Source organism: Homo sapiens, chromosome 2, assembly GCF_000001405.40.
Source record: "Homo sapiens chromosome 2, GRCh38.p14 Primary Assembly".
Lineage (NCBI taxonomy): Eukaryota > Metazoa > Chordata > Mammalia > Primates > Hominidae > Homo > Homo sapiens.
Genome location: NC_000002.12, coordinates 159,333,820 through 159,352,734, shown reverse-complemented (window position 1 = coordinate 159,352,734; position 18,915 = coordinate 159,333,820). Strand labels below are relative to the sequence as shown.

Sequence of the window (18,915 nt, the reverse complement as noted above, 5' to 3'; positions counted from 1 at the left end):
TGCAGGTGGATGGCTTGAGCTCAGAAGTTTGAGACTAGCCTGGCAACATAGTGAAACCTCGTCTCTACAAAAAATACAAAAATTACTTGGACATGGTGGTGTGCACCTGTAGTCCCAGCTAATTTGGAGGCTGAGTTGGGAGAATCACTTGAGCTTGGTAGGTCGAGGTTGCAGTAAGCCCTAATCACACCACTGCACTCCAGCCTGGGTGACAGAGTGAGACCCTATCTAAGAAAAAAAAAAAAAAAGATATAGACATTGCTCTGCCTTTAAACAGAGCTTGTTGATTTAAATTCTAGTACGTGGGAGGGAAGGTAATCAAAAATAAACAAACATCATGATTAATGTTAAATTCTGTAAAGGAAATATATAGAATGACATTCTAAGATGAATGGGGGGTCCTAATTTTAGATAAGGTGATCAGAGAAAATCTCCGTAAGGAAATAACGTTTATTATCTGAGACATGAAGGATAAGGAGCCAGTCAACAAAACAGTATCCCATGCAGAGGGAAGAACAAGATCAAGGGCTCTGAGAAGGGCAAGAACTTAGCATGTTCAAGAAGCTGAAAATAGAAAGTGAGAAGAGGAGCAGAGTTATCAAGGACAAGAGTGGTGCAGAGGTGGTGGAAGTTTTCAGGAACCAGATTATAGAATGTTGTAGGCCTTGGTTAGGAGTTTGGTTTTTATTCTAAGCCGCAGAAAAGTGAATAGTAGTATTCCATTTATGTAATAATGCAAAATGGTAGTCATAGATAACGTATATACTATTTCTGGGAAGGTGTATTGATGTAATTAACCATGGCTACCCCTGAAGTGTAGAAATAGAGATTGAAGGAATAGGTAGAAAGGCCTTTACTTTATACCCTTCATGACTGAATATTTTAACTTGTGAGCATATTACTTTTCAAATTGAATAAAGTAGTGGATTTATGTTTTTAAAATAGTTCTTATAAATTATTTTTAAAACAATGAGCAAAAATATGAACCAGAAATTTACAAAAGAGAAATACCAATAAACCTATGAAAAGATATTCAGCCTTACTAATGACCAGAAATAATGCAATCTAGATTTTCACCTCAAATATTGGCAAAGACAAAAAATACTGACAGCATCCAGTTTCATTGAGGGTGTAGGCACACAGATGCTCTCAGTTACTTTAATATGAGTATATATTCATCCAGACTTTTTAGAGGACAGTTTGACAGTATATTTCAAAAACTCTGAAAAGTACACATCTTAGTTTTTTTTTTAGGAATTTATTTTAAGGAAGTAAATTGGGAGAACAAGTCTAAAAATACAGATAAAAGGTCATTATTTACAGCATTGTTTATAATAGTGAATAATTGGGACCTATTATTATATATCAGTAGAAAATTATTTAAGTTATGATATAGTTCATTCTGTTGCCATTAAAATTTATGATGAAGTTATATGTTTATCGACATGTCAAGGTGTTTACAGGGTATTATTCAATAAAACCCTCTAGCAGTTTAGAATATTATGTATGTAGTAGAATTTCTTTCCTTAATTATGTGGATTTAAGTGTGTATGTATCACATACAGAACTCCTAGAAGTTTAATACAAAAATATTAAGGGTAATTTTTGCTGTGTAGTACAGCTTGTAATATTTTTTGTACTTTTAATATTTTTGGATTTTAATTTTTTATTATTATTATTATACTTTAAGTTTTAGGGTACATGTGCACAATGTGCAGGTTAGTTACATATGTATACATGTGCCATGCTGGTGCGCTGCACCCACTAACTCGTCATCTAGCATTAGGTAGATCTCCCAATGTTATCCCTCCCCCCTCCCCCCACCGGATTTTAATTTTTTATAACAAATATATGTTAATGCCGGCTGGGAGTGGTGGCTCATGCCTGTTATCCCTGCACTTTGGGAGGCCAAGGCAGGTGGATTGCCTGACCTCAGAGATTCGAGACCAGCCTGGCTAACATGGTGAAACCCTGTTTCTACTAAAAATACAAAAAAATTAGCCAGGCATGGTGGTGCACCTTTGTAATCTCATTTACTCAGGAGGCTGAAGCAGGAGAATCGCTTGAACCCAGGAGGCAGAGGTTGCAGTGAGCTGAATTCACGCCATTGCACTCCAGCCTGGAAGAAGAGTGAGACTCCGTCCATCTCAAAATAAAATGTAAACAAACCAACAAACAAAATATATATATATATATATGTTAATTTTCCAGTGAGTGAAAGCTATAATCTATAAAAAAGGAAAATATAGGGAGTATTAGGTAATACAGAAAAGTTTAAGTATTTATGCATATAATTTGATAAAGAGTAATGAAATTTAATTACAGTATTGGTTTGATCTGGAGTAACTGATGTTCATAATGCTTTTTCATTTTGTAGGACTAGAAGAAATTGCAAAAGAAAGAGAAAAACTGAAAAAGGCAGAAAGTGTCCAGATCAAAGAAGAAATGTTTGAGACTTCTGGGGACAGTTTAAATTGTTCAAATACAGATCACTGTGAACAAAAGGAAGATCTTAAAGAAAAAGATAACACAAATCTATTCCTTCAGAAACCTGGCTCTTTTTCCAAATTAAGCAAGCTTTTGGAAGTAGCTAAGATGCCTCCTGAGTCAGAGGTTATGACCCCCAAACCAAATGCTGGTGCAAATGGGTGCACGTTGTCTTATCAGAACAGTGGAAAACATTCACTGGGCAGCGTTCAGTCAACAGCAACGCAAAGCAATGTGGAAAAGGCAGACTCTAATAATCTGTTTAATACTGGTTCAAGTGGTCCAGGGAAGTTCTACAGTCCTCTCCCCAATGACCAGTTACTAAAAACGCTGACTGAAAAGAATAGACAATGGTTTAGTCTTTTGCCACGAACACCCTGTGATGACACTTCACTTACTCATGCCGATATGTCAACTGCTTCTTTGGTGACTCCTCAGTCTCAGCCACCATCTAAGTCACCTTCACCTACCCCAGCTCCTCTTGGATCTTCTGCTCAGAATCCTGTTGGCTTAAATCCATTTGCTTTATCACCTCTTCAGGTTAGTACTGCTAACTGTAACTCATTTTTATATTGCTTTATGTAATCTTTGACCCCATGGAGATTTTTGCTCAAGGGGGCTCACTCAGATAGTTAAAATATTCCTGCTACAGTTTGAAAACTAAAACAAGTCAGAATTTCTGTCACCAAGGTTCATTAGAACTACTGATTTCTAGACTTTGTCTAAGTCTTCTTTAATTACTTTTTAACTTATTACTGTAACGGTATATCCGAAAGGAAAATTACTTTGGGAAACAAATAAGAACATGGAATTTAACATTTTTGTTGCTAATGTATTTTGTTTTCCTGTAATTGTAATAAATGAAAGAATATTTTTTGGAATTTGAAAAATAATTTCATATTCCAAACATTTTTCCTAACTTCTTAGAGTAATCTACTTTTCATTAATAAATGTTTTCTTTTTGCAGGTGAAAGGTGGAGTATCTATGATGGGACTTCAGTTTTGTGGATGGCCCACTGGTGTGGTTACTTCTAATATTCCATTTACATCATCTGTACCTAGTCTAGGATCGGGGTTAGGGTTATCAGAAGGAAATGGTAATTCATTCTTGACTTCCAATGTTGCTTCAAGTAAAAGTGAATCTCCAGTACCACAGAATGAAAAGGCCACTTCAGCTCAACCTGCAGCTGTTGAAGTAGCAAAACCAGTAGATTTTCCTAGTCCAAAACCTATTCCAGAAGGTAGGTACATTGAGATGGTTTACAGCCACTTACTCAATTTCAATATTATGGATTCCTGTATTATAACTGAATATTTGATGGTTCTATATATAGTTAATAAATCTTTTTATTTCCATGGTGTCATTTCCTATTCAAAATATTTGTAAAAGTTCTACTTATTTATCTTGACTTAGAAATGCAGTTTGGTTGGTGGAGAATTATTGACCCAGAGGACCTAAAAGCTTTGCTCAAAGTGCTGCATCTCAGAGGAATAAGAGAAAAGGCATTACAAAAACAAATTCAGAAACATTTGGATTATATTACTCAAGCCTGCCTCAAGAATAAGGATGGTGTGTACCTAAAAGATATTTCAGCTTTCTTTCTTGCTTAGTTATGAGAATTAATTATTCTAAACCATATTTTAGTACAGTCTATTGGTCCTTCATATTCATGGGTTCCACATCTATGGATTCAACCAATCGCAGATCAAACAGTCAAAGAAAGATGGGTGCATCTGTACTGAACATATACAGGCTTTTTTTTCTTATCATTCTTCCCTAAATAATATATAGTATAACAACTATTTCCATAGCATCTACATTGTCTCAGGTACTATAAGTAACCTAGAAATAACTTGAAGCATATGGGAGGATGTACATAGATTACATGCAAATAGTACACCTTTTTTTTTTTTTTTTTTTTTTTTTTGTGAGAGAGTCTTGCTGTGTCACCTAGGCTGGAGAATGGTGGTGCAGTCATAGCTGACTGCATTCTCAAAGTCCTGGGCTCAAGCAATCTTCCTGCCTCAGCCTTCTGAGTAGCTGGGACTACAGGCACATGCCCCCACACCCAGCTAGTTTTTTTTATTTTTTGTAGAGACAGGGCCTCACTATGTTGCCCAGGCTGGTCTCGAACTCCTGGCCTCAAGTGATCCTCTCACCTCAGCTTCCCAAAGTGCTAAGATTATGGGCATGAGCCACCACTCCTGGCCAACACCATTTTATATAAGGGATGTGAACATCTCTAGGTTTTGGTATTCATGGGGGCAGAGGGGGTCCTAGAACCAATCCCCCACAGATATCAAGAGAGAAATGATATCTTAATGCACTACTATTTTTTTCTGTTTTACTCAACAAACTATTTATATTTTTTAAGTTGGTGTTACTGTCTTGTAATTTTTTACACCCGTAGCATATTGTTTTGTGTTTCTTAGCGTGTTTCTACTTTTAAGAGTAAGCTGCCTGTACATACACAAGTGCATTTGTGTATGTCAAGTTAGATGTACATGGGTCTCCTAGAATTTTATTCACTTTCTGGAAGAGGTCTCTGTGGGGAAAAGCTTAATAAGTGGATTTTTAAATTAATTTCTTTTTAAATGTAGTTGCTATTATTGAACTGAATGAAAATGAAGAAAACCAAGTAACTCGAGATATTGTGGAGAACTGGTCAGTAGAAGAACAAGCAATGGAAATGGATTTGAGTGTCCTTCAACAGGTAGAAGATCTAGAAAGGAGAGTTGCATCAGCAAGTTTGCAAGTGAAGGTAAAATCGACTTGGAATAAAATATGTTTTTAGGATAATGGAAGATAACTAATGTTTATTACTTGCCTAATATATGCTAGTTAATGTGCTAAATGTTTTTATTTTGTCTCATTTAATTCTGAAAACAATCCTGGATTAATTTGCCCCATCTGTTAAGGAACCAGGCTCAGAGTAAGTAATGTGCCAATGGTCATATAGTAAGTGCCTAAATGTGCATTTAAACCAAGTCTGACTCCAGAGCCCATGTTCTTTTTAGTAATCTTGCTACCTCCTTAATGGTATTCAGAGGTATTATTTCCGATGCGCAGTTCTTTACTACCAGCAGAATTCCAGTTTCACTGAGATGAATGTGATGATCTAGTACAAATATTATCAAACTCCTATTGTAGTGTTTCATATAGGGCCATGAACTTCCTTACATACAAGCCTTGTTATATGTCAGACTTTTATACTATATAGTTTAATTTGGAGACCAATATAGATATATCCAAATATATGTTATAGACCATTATGATATACTGACACATGCACACATACCCTACATATATATATATAAAGTTTTTATTTACTGATTTATTCATTCATTCCCTCATCTATCTCCTGGGTATTATCATGTTACAGGTAATGATCAGAACTGGTTTCCAGTGGACAAACAAAAGGAAAGCTTTACCCTTGTGCAAGAATTTTTGGTTTTGTAAAGAGGGGTATAAAGGTCTCCTTAAAAGCATGAAAGGTTTAGAACCTGCTAAGGTTCTGTTTTGGTTTGGGGGTTTTTTGTTTTTTTGTTTTTTGTTTTTGAGATGGAGTCTCACGCTGTCACCCAGGCTGGAGTACGGTGGTGTGATCTTGGCTTACTGCAACCTCCACTTCCAGGTTCAAGTGATTCTCCTGCCTCAGGCTTCCAAAGTACATGCCGTGATGCCCCACTAATTTTTGTATTTTTAGTAGAGATGGGGTTTTGCCACGTTGGCCAGGCTGGTCTCAAACTCCTGACCTCAAGTGATCCACCCACTTTGGCCTCCCAAAATACTGGGATTACAGGCATGAGCCACTGTGCCTGGCTAGAATCTGCTAAGGTACTAAAGGTTTAGAAACCTTAATCTCCATGTAATTTGATTTGAAATGCCTTGCTTTATTCAGAATGAGAAATTTATGGCATAATGCTATCCTATTTAATAATTGAGATTTTGCTTCATAATTAGTTTAACATAGGCATTTGGACACTTTTGAGGATCTCAAAAAATGTAGTTTTCCAGAGCTAATAAAATATCCCTTTCTTGTGACAAACGTAATTACCAACGTTGGGAAGCAAAAATTTATTATTGAAACTATTGTGCTAGTAAACTATGTCTCCTCCTCCAGGTTCTATAATACAGTATAAAAGTGCCTCGTGTATTGTCATCTTTCTGGCATCTTCAACAGATGAACCCTTTCACACTATTTTATTTTCTGGAGAAATGAAAATTATTCCATTTAGTGCTAGAATTTTTTAATGTGTTTTTGGATCGCTTATGTTACACATTTCATTGCCTTCTTAAATTGAAAATAAAAAGCCTGATTTAACTTATCATGGTGGCACAGAATCATCAGTATGAAGATCAATTATCAGACAATAATTCCCTCAGGAAATGAGAAGAGGTTTTGCACCTAACCTAAATGATCCTAGTGTGCTTTGGTTTTAAAACTGCTACATCTACTTTCTATAGTCTGTGGTTGTCCTCTCAGTTTGTCAGTTGATACTGCTTGCTGGTTTAAATTTGATTGGTTCCATAAGCCCTATTTTCCTCCAGCTTTTTCCCAACTCATTTGCCAATTCTAGTTGACTGTTGGTTGGGAAAGTGTATCATCAGGCTTTTAAAAAATATGTGTAAAGTCCGAGTGTGGGCCTGAAACATTTTCCTGGTGACATACTCAGATTTTGGTCCTTTGACCTTTATCACATTGCTGACTGCTTAAATGTTCTTGGCTGTGTTATCAGTAGCTAAGATAAGTAGAATTTGCTTCATAAATTGTTTTAAAATCATAAATGATAATGTACAGTATCATGGAGTACATGGTGATGTTTTGGTACATTTAATGTATAGTGATCAGATCAGAGTAATTAGCATATTCATTATCTCAAACATTTACCATTTTTTTTCTGTTAAGAATAATATCCTCCTTTAGCTACTTGAAACAATATATATTATTAACTATAGTCATCGTACAGTGGTATAGAGCACGAGAACTTATTTCTCCTACCTACCAATAATTTTGTATTCTTTTTTTTTTTTTGAGACCAAGTTTCACTTTTGTTGCCCAGGCTTGAGTATAGTGGCGTGATCTCAGCTCACAGCAACCTCCACCTCCCAGGTTCAAGCGATTCTCCTGCCTCAGCCTTCCTGAGTAGCTGGGATTACAGGCATGCCCCACCAAGCCCAGCTAATTTCTGTATTTTTAGTAGAGACAGGGTTTCTCCATGTTGGTCAGGCTGGTCTCAAACTCCCGACCTCAGATCATCTGCCCACCTCGGCCTCCGAAAGTGCTGGGATTACAGGTGTGAGCCACTGCGCCCAGCCAGTAATTTTGTATTCTTTAACAAATCTCTCTTTATCCCTCCCTGCCCCCACTTTTCCCAGCCTATAGTATATCCTCTGGTCTACTTTTTACTTCTATGAGATCAGTTTTTTTTCAAGCTTCCACATGAATGAGAACATGCAGTGTTTAACTTTGTGTGCCTGGCTTACTTCACTTAAAGTAATGTCCTCCAGTTCCATCCATGTTGCCTCTAATGACAGGATATTTCGTTCTTTTTATGGTTGTATAGCATTCTGTTGTGTATACATGCCACATTTTCTTTATCCATTTATCTGTTGTTGAATACCTGGATTCATTCTGTATTTTGGCTATTGTGTATAGTGCCGCAGTAAACATCGGGATGCAGATGTCTTTTCTTTTCTTTTTTTTTTTTTGAGACGGAGTTTCACTCTTGTTGCCCGGGCTGGAGTTCAATGGCGCCATCTCAGCTCACCGCAGCCTCCACCTCCCAGGTTCAAGCAACTCTCCTGCCTCAGCCTCCTGAGTAGCTGGGATTACAGGCATGCACCACCACGCCTGGCTAATTTTGTATTTTTAGTAGAGACGGGGTTTCTCCATGTTGAGGCTGGTCTTGAACTCCTGACCTCAGGTGATCCACCCGCCTCAGCCTCCCAAAGTGCTGGGATTACAGGCATGAGCCACCACACCCGGCCAGATGTCTTTTCAATACGACAATTTTCTTTTCCTTTGGATAAATTCCCAGTAGTAGGATTGCTGGATCATATGATAGCTCTATTTGTAGTTTCTTGAGGAACCTACATACTGTTCTTCATAGTGGCTGTACTAGTTTACATTCCCACCAACAGTATGTAAGAGTTCCCTTTTCTATGCATTCTTACCAGCATCTCATTTTTTTTTTTTTCTTTTTTTTTTTTTTTTTTGAGATGGAGTCTTGTTCTGTCGCCCAGGCTCTGCAGTGCAGTGGCGTGATCTTGGCTCACTGCAAGCTCCACCTCCCGGGTTCCCGCCATTCTGCTGCCTCAGTCTCCCGAGTAGCTGAGACTACAGGCGCCCACCACCACACCCAGCTAATTTTTTGTATTTTTAGTAGAGATGGGATTTCATCATGTTAGCCAGGATGGTCTTGATCTCCTGACCTTGTGATCTGCCCGCCTCAGCCTCCCAAAGTGCTGGGATTACAGATGTGAGCCACGGCGCCCGGCCGTTTTTTTTCTTTTTGATAATAGCCATTCTAACTGGGGTGAGATAATATCTCATTGTGGCTTTGATTTGCATTTCTCTGATGAGTGGTGATGTTCAGCATTTTTTCATATATTTGTTGGCCATGTATATGTCTTCTTTTGAGAAATGTCTGTTCAGATTATTTGCCCATTTTTAATCAGATTGTTTGGTTTTTTGCTGTTGAGATGTTTGAGTTCCTTGTATATCCTGGTATTAATCTCCTTTCAGATGTATTATTTGCAAATATTTTAGCCCATTTTGAGGATTTTCTTTTCACTCTGTTGACTTTTTCTTTTGCTGTACAGAAGTTTTTTCATTTGATGTAGTTGCATTTGTTTATTTTTGCTTCTGTTACCTGTGCTTTTGAAGTTTTATATATAAAATATTTTCCCAGACCAGTGTCCTGTTTCTTCTGTAGTTTTATCATTTGGGGTCTTACATTAAGTCTTTCATCTATTTTGAGTTATTTTTGTATAGGATAAGAGGTGGGGGTCTAGTTTAATTCCTCTGCATATGGATATCCAGTTTTCCTGGCACCATTTATTGAAGAGACTATTCTTTTCACAATGAGCATTCTTGGCAGCTTTGTTAAAAAGCAGTTGATTGTAGAGGTGTGGATTAATTTCTGGGTTTTCTATTCTATCCCATTGGTTTATGTGTCAGTTTTTATGCCTGTACCATGCTGTTCTGATTACTACAGCTTTGTAGTTTATTTTGAAGTCTTAGTAGTCTGATACCTCCAGCTTTGTTCTTGTTACTCAGGATTGCTTTAGCTATTCAGTCTTTTGTAATTCCACACAAAGTTTAATATTTTTTCTTTATTTCTGTGAAGAATATCATTAGTGTTTTGATAGGGATTGTGTTGAATCTGTAGATCGCATTGGGTAGTATTATCATTTTAACAATATTGATTCTTCTGATCCATAAGCATGATTGTATCCTCTCATCCTCTTCAGTTTTTTTTAATCAGTGTTTTATAGTTTTCCTTGTAGAGGTCTTTCACTTCTTTGGTTAAATTTACTCCTAGAATTGGATTTTTGTTTTTGATTTTGCTTGTTTGTTTGGTAGCTATTGTAAATGGGATTGCCTTCTTGATTTCTTTTTTAGTGAATTCATTGTTCATGTATCAAAATGCTGCTGAGGCCGGACACAGTGGCTCATGCCTGTAATCCCAGAACTTTGGGAGGCCAAGGTGAGAGGATCACTTGAGCTCAGGAGTTTGAGACCAGCCTGGGGAACATGGCAAAACCCCATCTCTACAAAAAATACAAAAATTAGGTGGGCGTAGTGACACGTGCCTATAGTCCCAGCTACTTGGGAGGCTGAGGTGGGAGAATGGCTTGAGCCCAAGAAGTGAAGTTGCCTTGGCTATTTGGGCTCTCTTTTGGTTCTATATGAACTTTTCAATAGTTTTTTCTAGTTCAAAGAAGAATTTCATTGGTAGTTTTATAGGAATAGCATTGAATCTGTAAATTGCTTTGGGCAGTATGGCCATTTTAATGATATTTAGTCTTCCTATCTATGACCATGGGATTTTTTCCATCTGTATCATCTTTGATTTCTTTGAGCAGTGTGATGCAATTTCCATGTAGAGATCTTTCACCTCCCTGGTTGGCTGCATTCCTAGGTATTTTATTGTTAGGAAAAGTAACTTTTTGTTTTGTTGATCTTTTGTATTTTTGTCTCAATTTGGTTTATTTCTGCTCTGATCTTTATTGTTTCTTTCCTTCTACTAATTTGGGGTTTGATTTGTTCTTGCATTTCCAGTTACTTGAAGGGCATTGCTAGATTGTTTACTTGAAATATTTCTACTTTATTGATGTAGGCATTTATTGCTATAAACTTGCTTCTTAATACTGCCTTTGCTGTGTCCCATACATTTTGGAATGTTGTGTTTCTGTTTTCATTTATTTCAAGGAATTTTTAAATTTCATTCTTAATTTCTTCTTTTACCCAGTGGTTGTTCAGGACCCTGTTGTTTACATTTCATGTATTTGTATGGTTTTAAATGTTCCTCTTGTTACTGATTTATAGTTTATTTCCATGTAGTCAGAGAAGATACTTGATATGATTTCAAATTTTTAAAATTTTTTGAGATTTGAGTCCTAACATATGGTCAGTCCTGGCATATGTTCCATGTGCTGATGAAAATAATGTGTATTCTGCAGCTGGTGGATGAAATGTTCTGTACGTGTCCATTTGGTCTATGGTGCAGATTAAATTTGATGTTACTTTGTTGATTTTCTGTCTAGAAAATCTGTCCAATGCTGACAGTGGGATGTTGAAATCCCCAGCCATTATCATATTAGGATCTACCTCTACATTTGGATCTAATAATATTTGCTTTATGTATTGAGTGCTCTGTTATTGAGTGCATATATATTTACAATTATTGTATTCTCTTGTTGAATTGATCCCTTTATTTATATAATTGTCCTTCTTTGTCTCTTTTTACAGCTTTTAACTTGAAGTTTGTTTGTTTGTTTTTTTTATCTGACATAAGTATAACTATTCCTCTTCACTTTTGGTTTTCATTTGCATGGGCTATTTCTATCCATCCATTCACTTTCAGTCTACATATGTCTTTACAGGTGAGGGGAGTTTCTTATAGGCAGCATATAGTTGGGCCTTGTTTTTTTAATCCAGCCAGTCTATGTCTTTTAAATGGGAAATTTAATTCATTTACATTCAAGATTACTATTTATAGGTGAGTGCTTACTCCTGTCATTTTATTGATTGCTTTTCTCTTGTTTTGTATAATCCTTTGTTCCTTACTTCCTTGATTATTATTTATTTTTGTGGCTGGGTGTTTTTCCATAAGGATACAGTTTATCATCAGGCTTTTTAAAATTATGTGTGTAATAATTTCCTTTCTCCTTTGTGTATTAGCTTTCCCAGTGAGTTTTATAGTTTCATATTTTCGTGATGGTGGTTATCATCTTTTTACTTTCAGATATAGGAGTCCTTGAGCATTTCTTGCATGTTTAGCCTAGTGGTGATGAATTCCTTCAGTTTCCCTCAGTCTGTAAAAGATTCTTTTTCTCCTTCATTTCTGAAGGCTTTCTTGGCTGGTAGGGTTTTTTTTTTCTCTCACTACTTTGAATATATCATCCCATTCTCTCCTGGCCTACAAGGTTTCTGCTGAGAAATCCAATGTTAGTCTAATGGAGATTTCCTTATATGTGACTTGACACTGTTAATGCTTTCAGAATTCTTTGTCTTTTGACTTCTTACAGGGTGACTATAATATGCCTCAAAGAGGACCTGTTTGGGTTGAATTTCTTGGGATTCTTCAAACTTCCTGTACCTGAATTTTCCTCTTTCTCCCAGGATGTGGAAAGTTTTCTACTATTATTTCATTAAATTTTTTTTCCTCACCTTTCCCTTCTCTTCACCTTCTGTAACACCCACAGGAATATTTGTTTGCTTAATGGTGTCCCATAAATCCTATAGGCTTTTTCCTTCTTTTTTTCCTTTTTCTTTGTTTTCCTTTCTTTCTTTCCCCCCACCCCTTGGTCTGCCTATGTTACTTCAAACGACCTGTCTTCAGAAATTCTTTCTTCCCCTTGGTCTAGTCTGTCTTTTTGATCTAGTCTTGTATTTTTTACTTTATTCATTGAATTATTTAGCTCTAGAACTTCTGTTTGGTTCTTTTTTATATCTGTCTCTGTTGATTTTCTCATTCAAATCATGAATTGTTTTCCAGATTTTGTCTAATTGTCTTTATGTATTCTCCTATTTCTTCTGTCAAACCATATATTTGTACCCATTAGTCAATTTCTCTTACTCTCACTCTCTCCCTACCCTTCTCAGCCTCTGGTAACCACCAATCTACTCTCTACATTCTAGAGTAGAGTAGCTTTTTTAGTTCTCACATATGAGTGAGAATATATAATAATTTGTCTTTCTGTATCTGGCTTATTTCACCCAGGATAATGTCCTCCAGTCCATCCATTTTGCTGCAAATAACAGGATTTCATTCTTCTTTATGACTGAATAATATTCCATCCTATAAATATACTGCATTTTCTTTATCCATTCATCTGTTGATGGGCATTTAGGTTGATTCCATATTTTAGCTATTGTGAATATTGCTGCAGTAAATATAGGAGTACAAATATCTCTTCCATATATTGATTTTCTTTCTTTTCTATGTATACCCACTAATGGAATTGCTAGATCGTATGGTAGTTCTATTTTTAGATTTTTGAGGAACTTTCACACTGTTTTTCATAGTGGATAAGTTGGTTGTCTATCTTGATCTCACTTTTTTCAGTGTAGAAACTGTGAGTTAGGGGGAAGTTTTCTGTGTGCTTGGTTCCTGGCAGAATGAGGGTAGAGAAGCATCGTGGATATGGAAGTCCAGTTCTCTTACCATCTGCTCAGAGTTTTTTCACTTCTCTCTTGCCACAGGAACTATCTCATCCTCATGTTTGAATTTTGGGATGTTGCTGGTGATCGTCTCAGTGCCGTATATTTATTTTGGGTTTTCTGAGTGGTTGGCGGCAGGGACGGGGAGGGCATTGGAGGCAGGAACTGAAGCCAGCTTGTATCTGTGACACCATTTTAGAGTCCATCCTTCCTTTCTAAATATAAATATTCTACTGAGTTAAAGGGGAAGAATTTATCCTAGTATATAAGATAAAATAATTATATCTAAAGAGATGTTTAAGTTTATTCCATTTTTCATTTAATATGCATTTATTAAATACCTATTGCATCTCAGGCAGTGGACACCAAAAAATTGGATAAAGTGTCGTTCCTACCATAAGAAAGCTTGTCATATAATAGGGAGATCAGACATATACATATATGCAGAATCTAGTAGCTGATTGTTGAGAACAGAGTAATGTATGAATTTAGAAGAAGAATACTGACTTCTGGCAGAGATATGGAAGATTTCATTTAGAAGTTGAAATGGAACTTAAGAAAATGAGTATGGTTTGGACAATTGGAGACCAGGCAATATCATCCCAGGAAGTGGGAACAGCATGAGCAGAGCACGAGGATTGGAAAGCTTATCTCATGTTTGTGGAAGAGCAAATTATAGAATTTGACTGCAACATAAGATGTGTGAATGGGAACATGAAAAGGGATAGATTGAGGTACTTCAATGCCATGGTGAACATTTCCTAAAGAATAGGAAATCTTTGAAGGATTTTGAGCTACAGGATCATTGATTGTTCAGTCAACATACATGTATTGAGTGCCCATTATTTGCCTGCACTGTACTGGAGATAAATGAGTAAAAGCAGACATAGTCCCTGCTCTCATGGAATTTAGAAGTAGAAAAATATTCATCGAATAATTACACTACTATAAAATTACATTTATGACAAGGCTAAGGAGCATGGTCCTATGAGAACCTGTCAGAGAGGGACTTAGCTCCTGAAAGAGGTCAGGAAAGGATTCCTATCAGGATCCTTTCATGTTAAAGTGAATCTTAACATGAGACCTATGAAATGAGTGGCGTTAACTAGGTGAAGAGGAGCAAAAGAAAAGCAATACAGATAAAGGTAATAGCATATTTGAAGCCCCTGCAGTCAAAGGAAAAATGGTGAGCACAGAAGGACCTGTACAGAAGAATAATGGAAGGAATGAAAACAGAAAGGAAGAGCAAAGGCTCAGAGGCTACCCAGAGATTTCCATTTAAGTGATCCCATGAAACTGATAAGCATTTTGGTCTAAAATCCTTCAAAATATTTTGCTGATTGTTCTTATACCTTTTATAATATCAAAAGTTTATAAATTTTATTTTTCAAACTTTTCTTACAACTATTTCTTTTAATTTTTTTCTTCTTATTTCCACCTAGTTTTAGGAAACACAAGGTAAAATCTTTTAGTAACAATCCTTGAGATCTGCCAGTATCCAATGCTGTATTTTAAGTAAAGGTAATTCACCCACCTAGCATTTTAAGAGGAAACCATAATAACACTATTCTCTTGATATATAGGGTTGGATGTGTCCAGAGCCTGCATCAGAAAGGGAGGACTTGGTATATTTTGAACATAAATCATTTACTAAATTGTGCAAGGAGCATGATGGAGAATTTACTGGCGAAGACGAAAGCAGTGCACATGCACTAGAACGGAAGAGTGACAACCCCCTAGATATAGCTGTAACCAGGCTGGCTGATTTGGAGCGGAACATTGAAAGAAGGTATCTGAAGAGCCCCTTAAGTACCACCATTCAGATCAAACTGGATAATGTGGGCACAGTTACTGTCCCTGCTCCTGCACCATCCGTTAGTGGTGATGGTGACGGGTAGGTTATTGAGATTAACTTGAAAAATTATTGTGCTTCTTTGCTAATTGGAGCCTATTTTCTATTGCCTGTTATCTATGTATCTTCTTGTATGTCTGTGATCCATACGGATCATGCTATTTGCATGGTGCTTTGTAAAAACTTTTTTTTTGTTATGTGCGTTGATAATCCTGCAAAGTGATCTTACATCTACCTGGTTGTGACTAAGCTTTGAGGCACGTAGCCACAGTCTGTGCACTACATCAAATTTAGTTGCTTAAACCTTATACTTATTGGCTGTTACATGTTTTTGTCATTGCTTGGCTTTCAGTGTGATGATTGTTTCACATTCCGTAATCGTAAGTGTGGACATGACCTACTTAATTTTTCTATATTTCAATGCAGAATTGAAGAGGATATTGCTCCAGGGCTCAGGGTATGGAGAAGGGCATTATCAGAAGCTCGCAGTGCTGCACAGGTAGCTCTGTGCATTCAGCAATTACAGAAATCAATAGCATGGGAAAAATCAATTATGAAAGTTGTAAGTGTTTTTATTTAAGAAATATTATAACTAATTTACTTTGTCCTGTTTCTTCCAACCTCCAGATCTTTCTTAATTATACATTACCTATTGTCATAATAATGTATGCTATACTTGAGAGTTTTTCTAATTCTAAAAGATTTTTGATACTTTCCTCCTTACTGAAGGAACCTTTCAAATGTGTTATCTTTTATTTTTTAAAATCTTGCTTCTGCCTCCTTTGAATATCGTTTATACCTCTAACTGAAGTTGTCTCCCACATTCCATCAGCACAATAGTTATTAATCTAAATCTTGAAGGCTGTTTCACTGTAGTAAACAGTTCCATTGCTAACATTACCTGCTATATTACTGCGTAGCTAAAATGTCTTTTTCTATCAGTTTTCATTTTTTAATTCTAAGAAGCACTTAGATAAGTAAATACAAGATAAGCAGAGAACTCTTAGTTTATGTGCTTATATCATGTATTTGGCATCAGATGTGGTTGACATGAACAGTAGATCCTTTAGTCTGTCTTCTACTAATTAAAATTGGTTTTCCACCTTCTTTCTACAACCCCAATTAGTTTATCATTTAGTTTATCACAAAAATCTCTATTTTGTATCAGGCACCAAAATGGTGTGTGTTCAAAATACAGAGCTATAATTCATGTTTTCCAGAGAAATATTTACTTTAAATCATGTACAAGTGTCCCTCTTGCCTCTTTTATATTATCATATATAGAATTATCTATTATATGTAGTCTTTTATGAATTACTTTAACATTTGCTTTTTTGTTTGTTTTTTGAGACAGAGTCTCGCTCACCCAGGCTGGAGTGCAGTGGCACAATCTTGGCTCACTGCAACCTCTGCCTCCTGGGTTCAGGGGATTCTCCTGCATCAGCCTCCTGAGTAACTGGGATTACAGGCACCCACCACCATACCCGGCTAATTTTTGTATTTTTAGAAGAGATGGGGTTTCACTATGTTGGCAAAGCCAGTCTCAAACTCTTGACCTCAGGTGATCCGCCCACCTCAGCCTCCCAAAGTGCTAGGATTACAGGCGTGAGCCACTGTGCCTGGCTACCATTTACTTTGAATTACAGACTAGCTTTAAAATTTAAACATTTGAGATTCTTTTCATGAATGGTTAAAGGTGAAATTCCTTTACTTAAAATGGTTGTTTCCCTGAAGAAAAGAATTGATTCTTAAATAACTTAGAGTTCTTTCTTTCGTCTTTACCTTTATGCTTAGACTACTCAAGGCCTTATTAATTCCACACAAATAAATTACGTTTCTTCTATGGTTTTTCACTGCTTCCTAAAACATCTATGAATCTGCAGTTTCATAATGTGCTGGAATACAGGGTCTTTCTCAATTCAGATTGGAATTTACTATAATTTTTTTTTTTTTTTTTTTTGAGACAGAGTCTCTGTTGCCCAGGCTGGAGTGCAGTAGCAGAATCTCAGCTCACTACAACCTCAATCTCCTGGGTTCAAGCAGTTCTCCTGCCCTCAGCCTCCCGAGTAGCTGGGATTACAGGCGTGCACCACCATGCCCAGCTAAATTTTGTATTTTCAGTAAAGACAGTGTTTCACCATGTTGGCCAGGCTGGTCTCGAACTCCTGAACTCAAATGATCCGCCTGCCTTGGCCTCCCAAAGTGCTGGGATTACAAGCATGAGCCACCGCACCTGGCCCAGAATTTACTATAAATTTTAAGGCACTGTTTGATTCATTTAATAGTGTTTTTACCAGGTACAAATATTTTTTCCTTCTAAAAATTATTATTAAAACCAGCTTGAATGTCACCTTAGACAAATATATTTGGTGAGATCTAGGCAATAATGATTTTTTTAAAAAAGAGAGAGAAACTGAGACTGATTTCTTGCCAGTTATGGTGGTGCATGCTGATAGTCCCAGCTACTCCAGAGGCCAAGGCAGGATCATTTGAGCCCAAGAGTTCGAGGCTGTAGTGTGCTGTGATTACACTTGAGAACAGCCACTGCACTATAGCCTGGGCAACATAATGAGACCTTGTCTGTAAATAAAACTGAAAAAAAAAGATTAAGTCCTAGATCAAAATGAAATTTGTATTTATATTTTTCTCATCTACACCAAAGCAGTCATCATGATGTGTTCAGTTTTATTATAAACTTACACACATAAACCTAAAACTTGTATCAAAACCTGCCTTTATATTGATATATTTAAATTCTGCAATCTATAGCTTTATTTCCATTTTTGCAAATTCATTAACCTTTCTCTTGTTCTTCATCTACTCTTATTAATCATATAACTCCATCTCTCACAATCTTCATTTCCTTTTTAAAATGCTTAATAATACATTTCTTGCTATGAAACTACCTTGAAAAGAAGGCAGTGTTTCATATTCAAAGATTAAGAAGCACCTTATAACCTTTAGAGACATAACAGTGCCTATAGTAATCCTCATAGTAAGTCCTGACAAAATATTAAAGTGCTCGATATCTTTAGAAATACCCTTTTGGACAAAGACCAAGGTTATCAAGAAAAAGAGGGAGTTGTCATAATTTGCCTCCAGATAATTCTCTACCCACAGTATGCTTTATATTGTTAAACAGTAGGCAGCATCCACTATTTTTTACTGTAGTAGCAGAGGAATTAAAACCAAATAATAATATATTTACTGTAACATATTGTGAGCTATTACTATAATTTTTCAAAATTGTTATGAGTTTGATATCTGTCACCCTTTCTTTAAAAGTATCAGGAAATAATTTTATTTTTAAATCCTAAGTGTGAGATGTAAGACAGATCTTGTAGCATTTATAGTTGCCTAGTAGAGAAAACAATGAGTATTTACTTATGTTCATGAATCTGATTTTTAAATTGTGTTGTTACAGGGATATACATATAACCTTGCAATTGTTATTTCTCAGTGAATACTTTTACAATAGAAGTTTTAACGATGTAACTCAAATATGGAGAAACAACACCATCTTAAGGTATTCAGTGATGGTGATGTTAGGAAAGGTCAAAAAATAGATACTGATTATTGGAATGTTAAACTGCTGCTTTTGCCCTTGGTAACCGCGCCAATGTTAATATGAAATATATAGTATATACATTTGATAAACATTTGTTAACTTGAATAGTGTGTCTG

At 36.3% G+C, this 18,915-nt stretch overlaps 1 protein-coding gene across 49 annotated transcripts in view, besides 1 other annotated feature; it reads left to right on the top strand.

The window, feature by feature from the left end:
* BAZ2B (bromodomain adjacent to zinc finger domain 2B) overlaps positions 1 to 18,915 on the top strand; it is a 397,131-nt gene that overhangs the window by 359,708 nt on the left and 18,508 nt on the right. For 39 of the 49 annotated variants that reach the window (XM_047444047.1, XM_047444046.1, XM_047444040.1 and 36 more), the window contains 6 exons: positions 2,378 to 3,027; positions 3,455 to 3,728; positions 3,902 to 4,057; positions 5,089 to 5,249; positions 14,963 to 15,273; positions 15,658 to 15,793. In XM_047444047.1, coding sequence (XP_047300003.1) covers positions 2,378 to 3,027; positions 3,455 to 3,728; positions 3,902 to 4,057; positions 5,089 to 5,249; positions 14,963 to 15,273; positions 15,658 to 15,793 — 1,688 coding nt within the window. The remainder of the gene's footprint in view (positions 1 to 2,377; positions 3,028 to 3,454; positions 3,729 to 3,901; positions 4,058 to 5,088; positions 5,250 to 14,962; positions 15,274 to 15,657; positions 15,794 to 18,915) is intronic. The other 10 variants (XM_047444051.1, XM_047444064.1, XM_011511042.1 and 7 more) reach the window with 2 other exon arrangements.
* Positions 2,347 to 3,546: an enhancer, noted in NCBI's record as "CDK7 strongly-dependent group 2 enhancer chr2:160205700-160206899 (GRCh37/hg19 assembly coordinates)". NCBI's record gives its function as "activates an origin of replication core promoter dependent on BRD2, BRD4, P300/CBP, MED14 and CDK7 cofactors, with strong dependence on CDK7, by STARR-seq in HCT116 cells {active_cell/tissue: HCT116}" and the evidence as "EXISTENCE:reporter gene assay evidence [ECO:0000049][PMID:35650434]".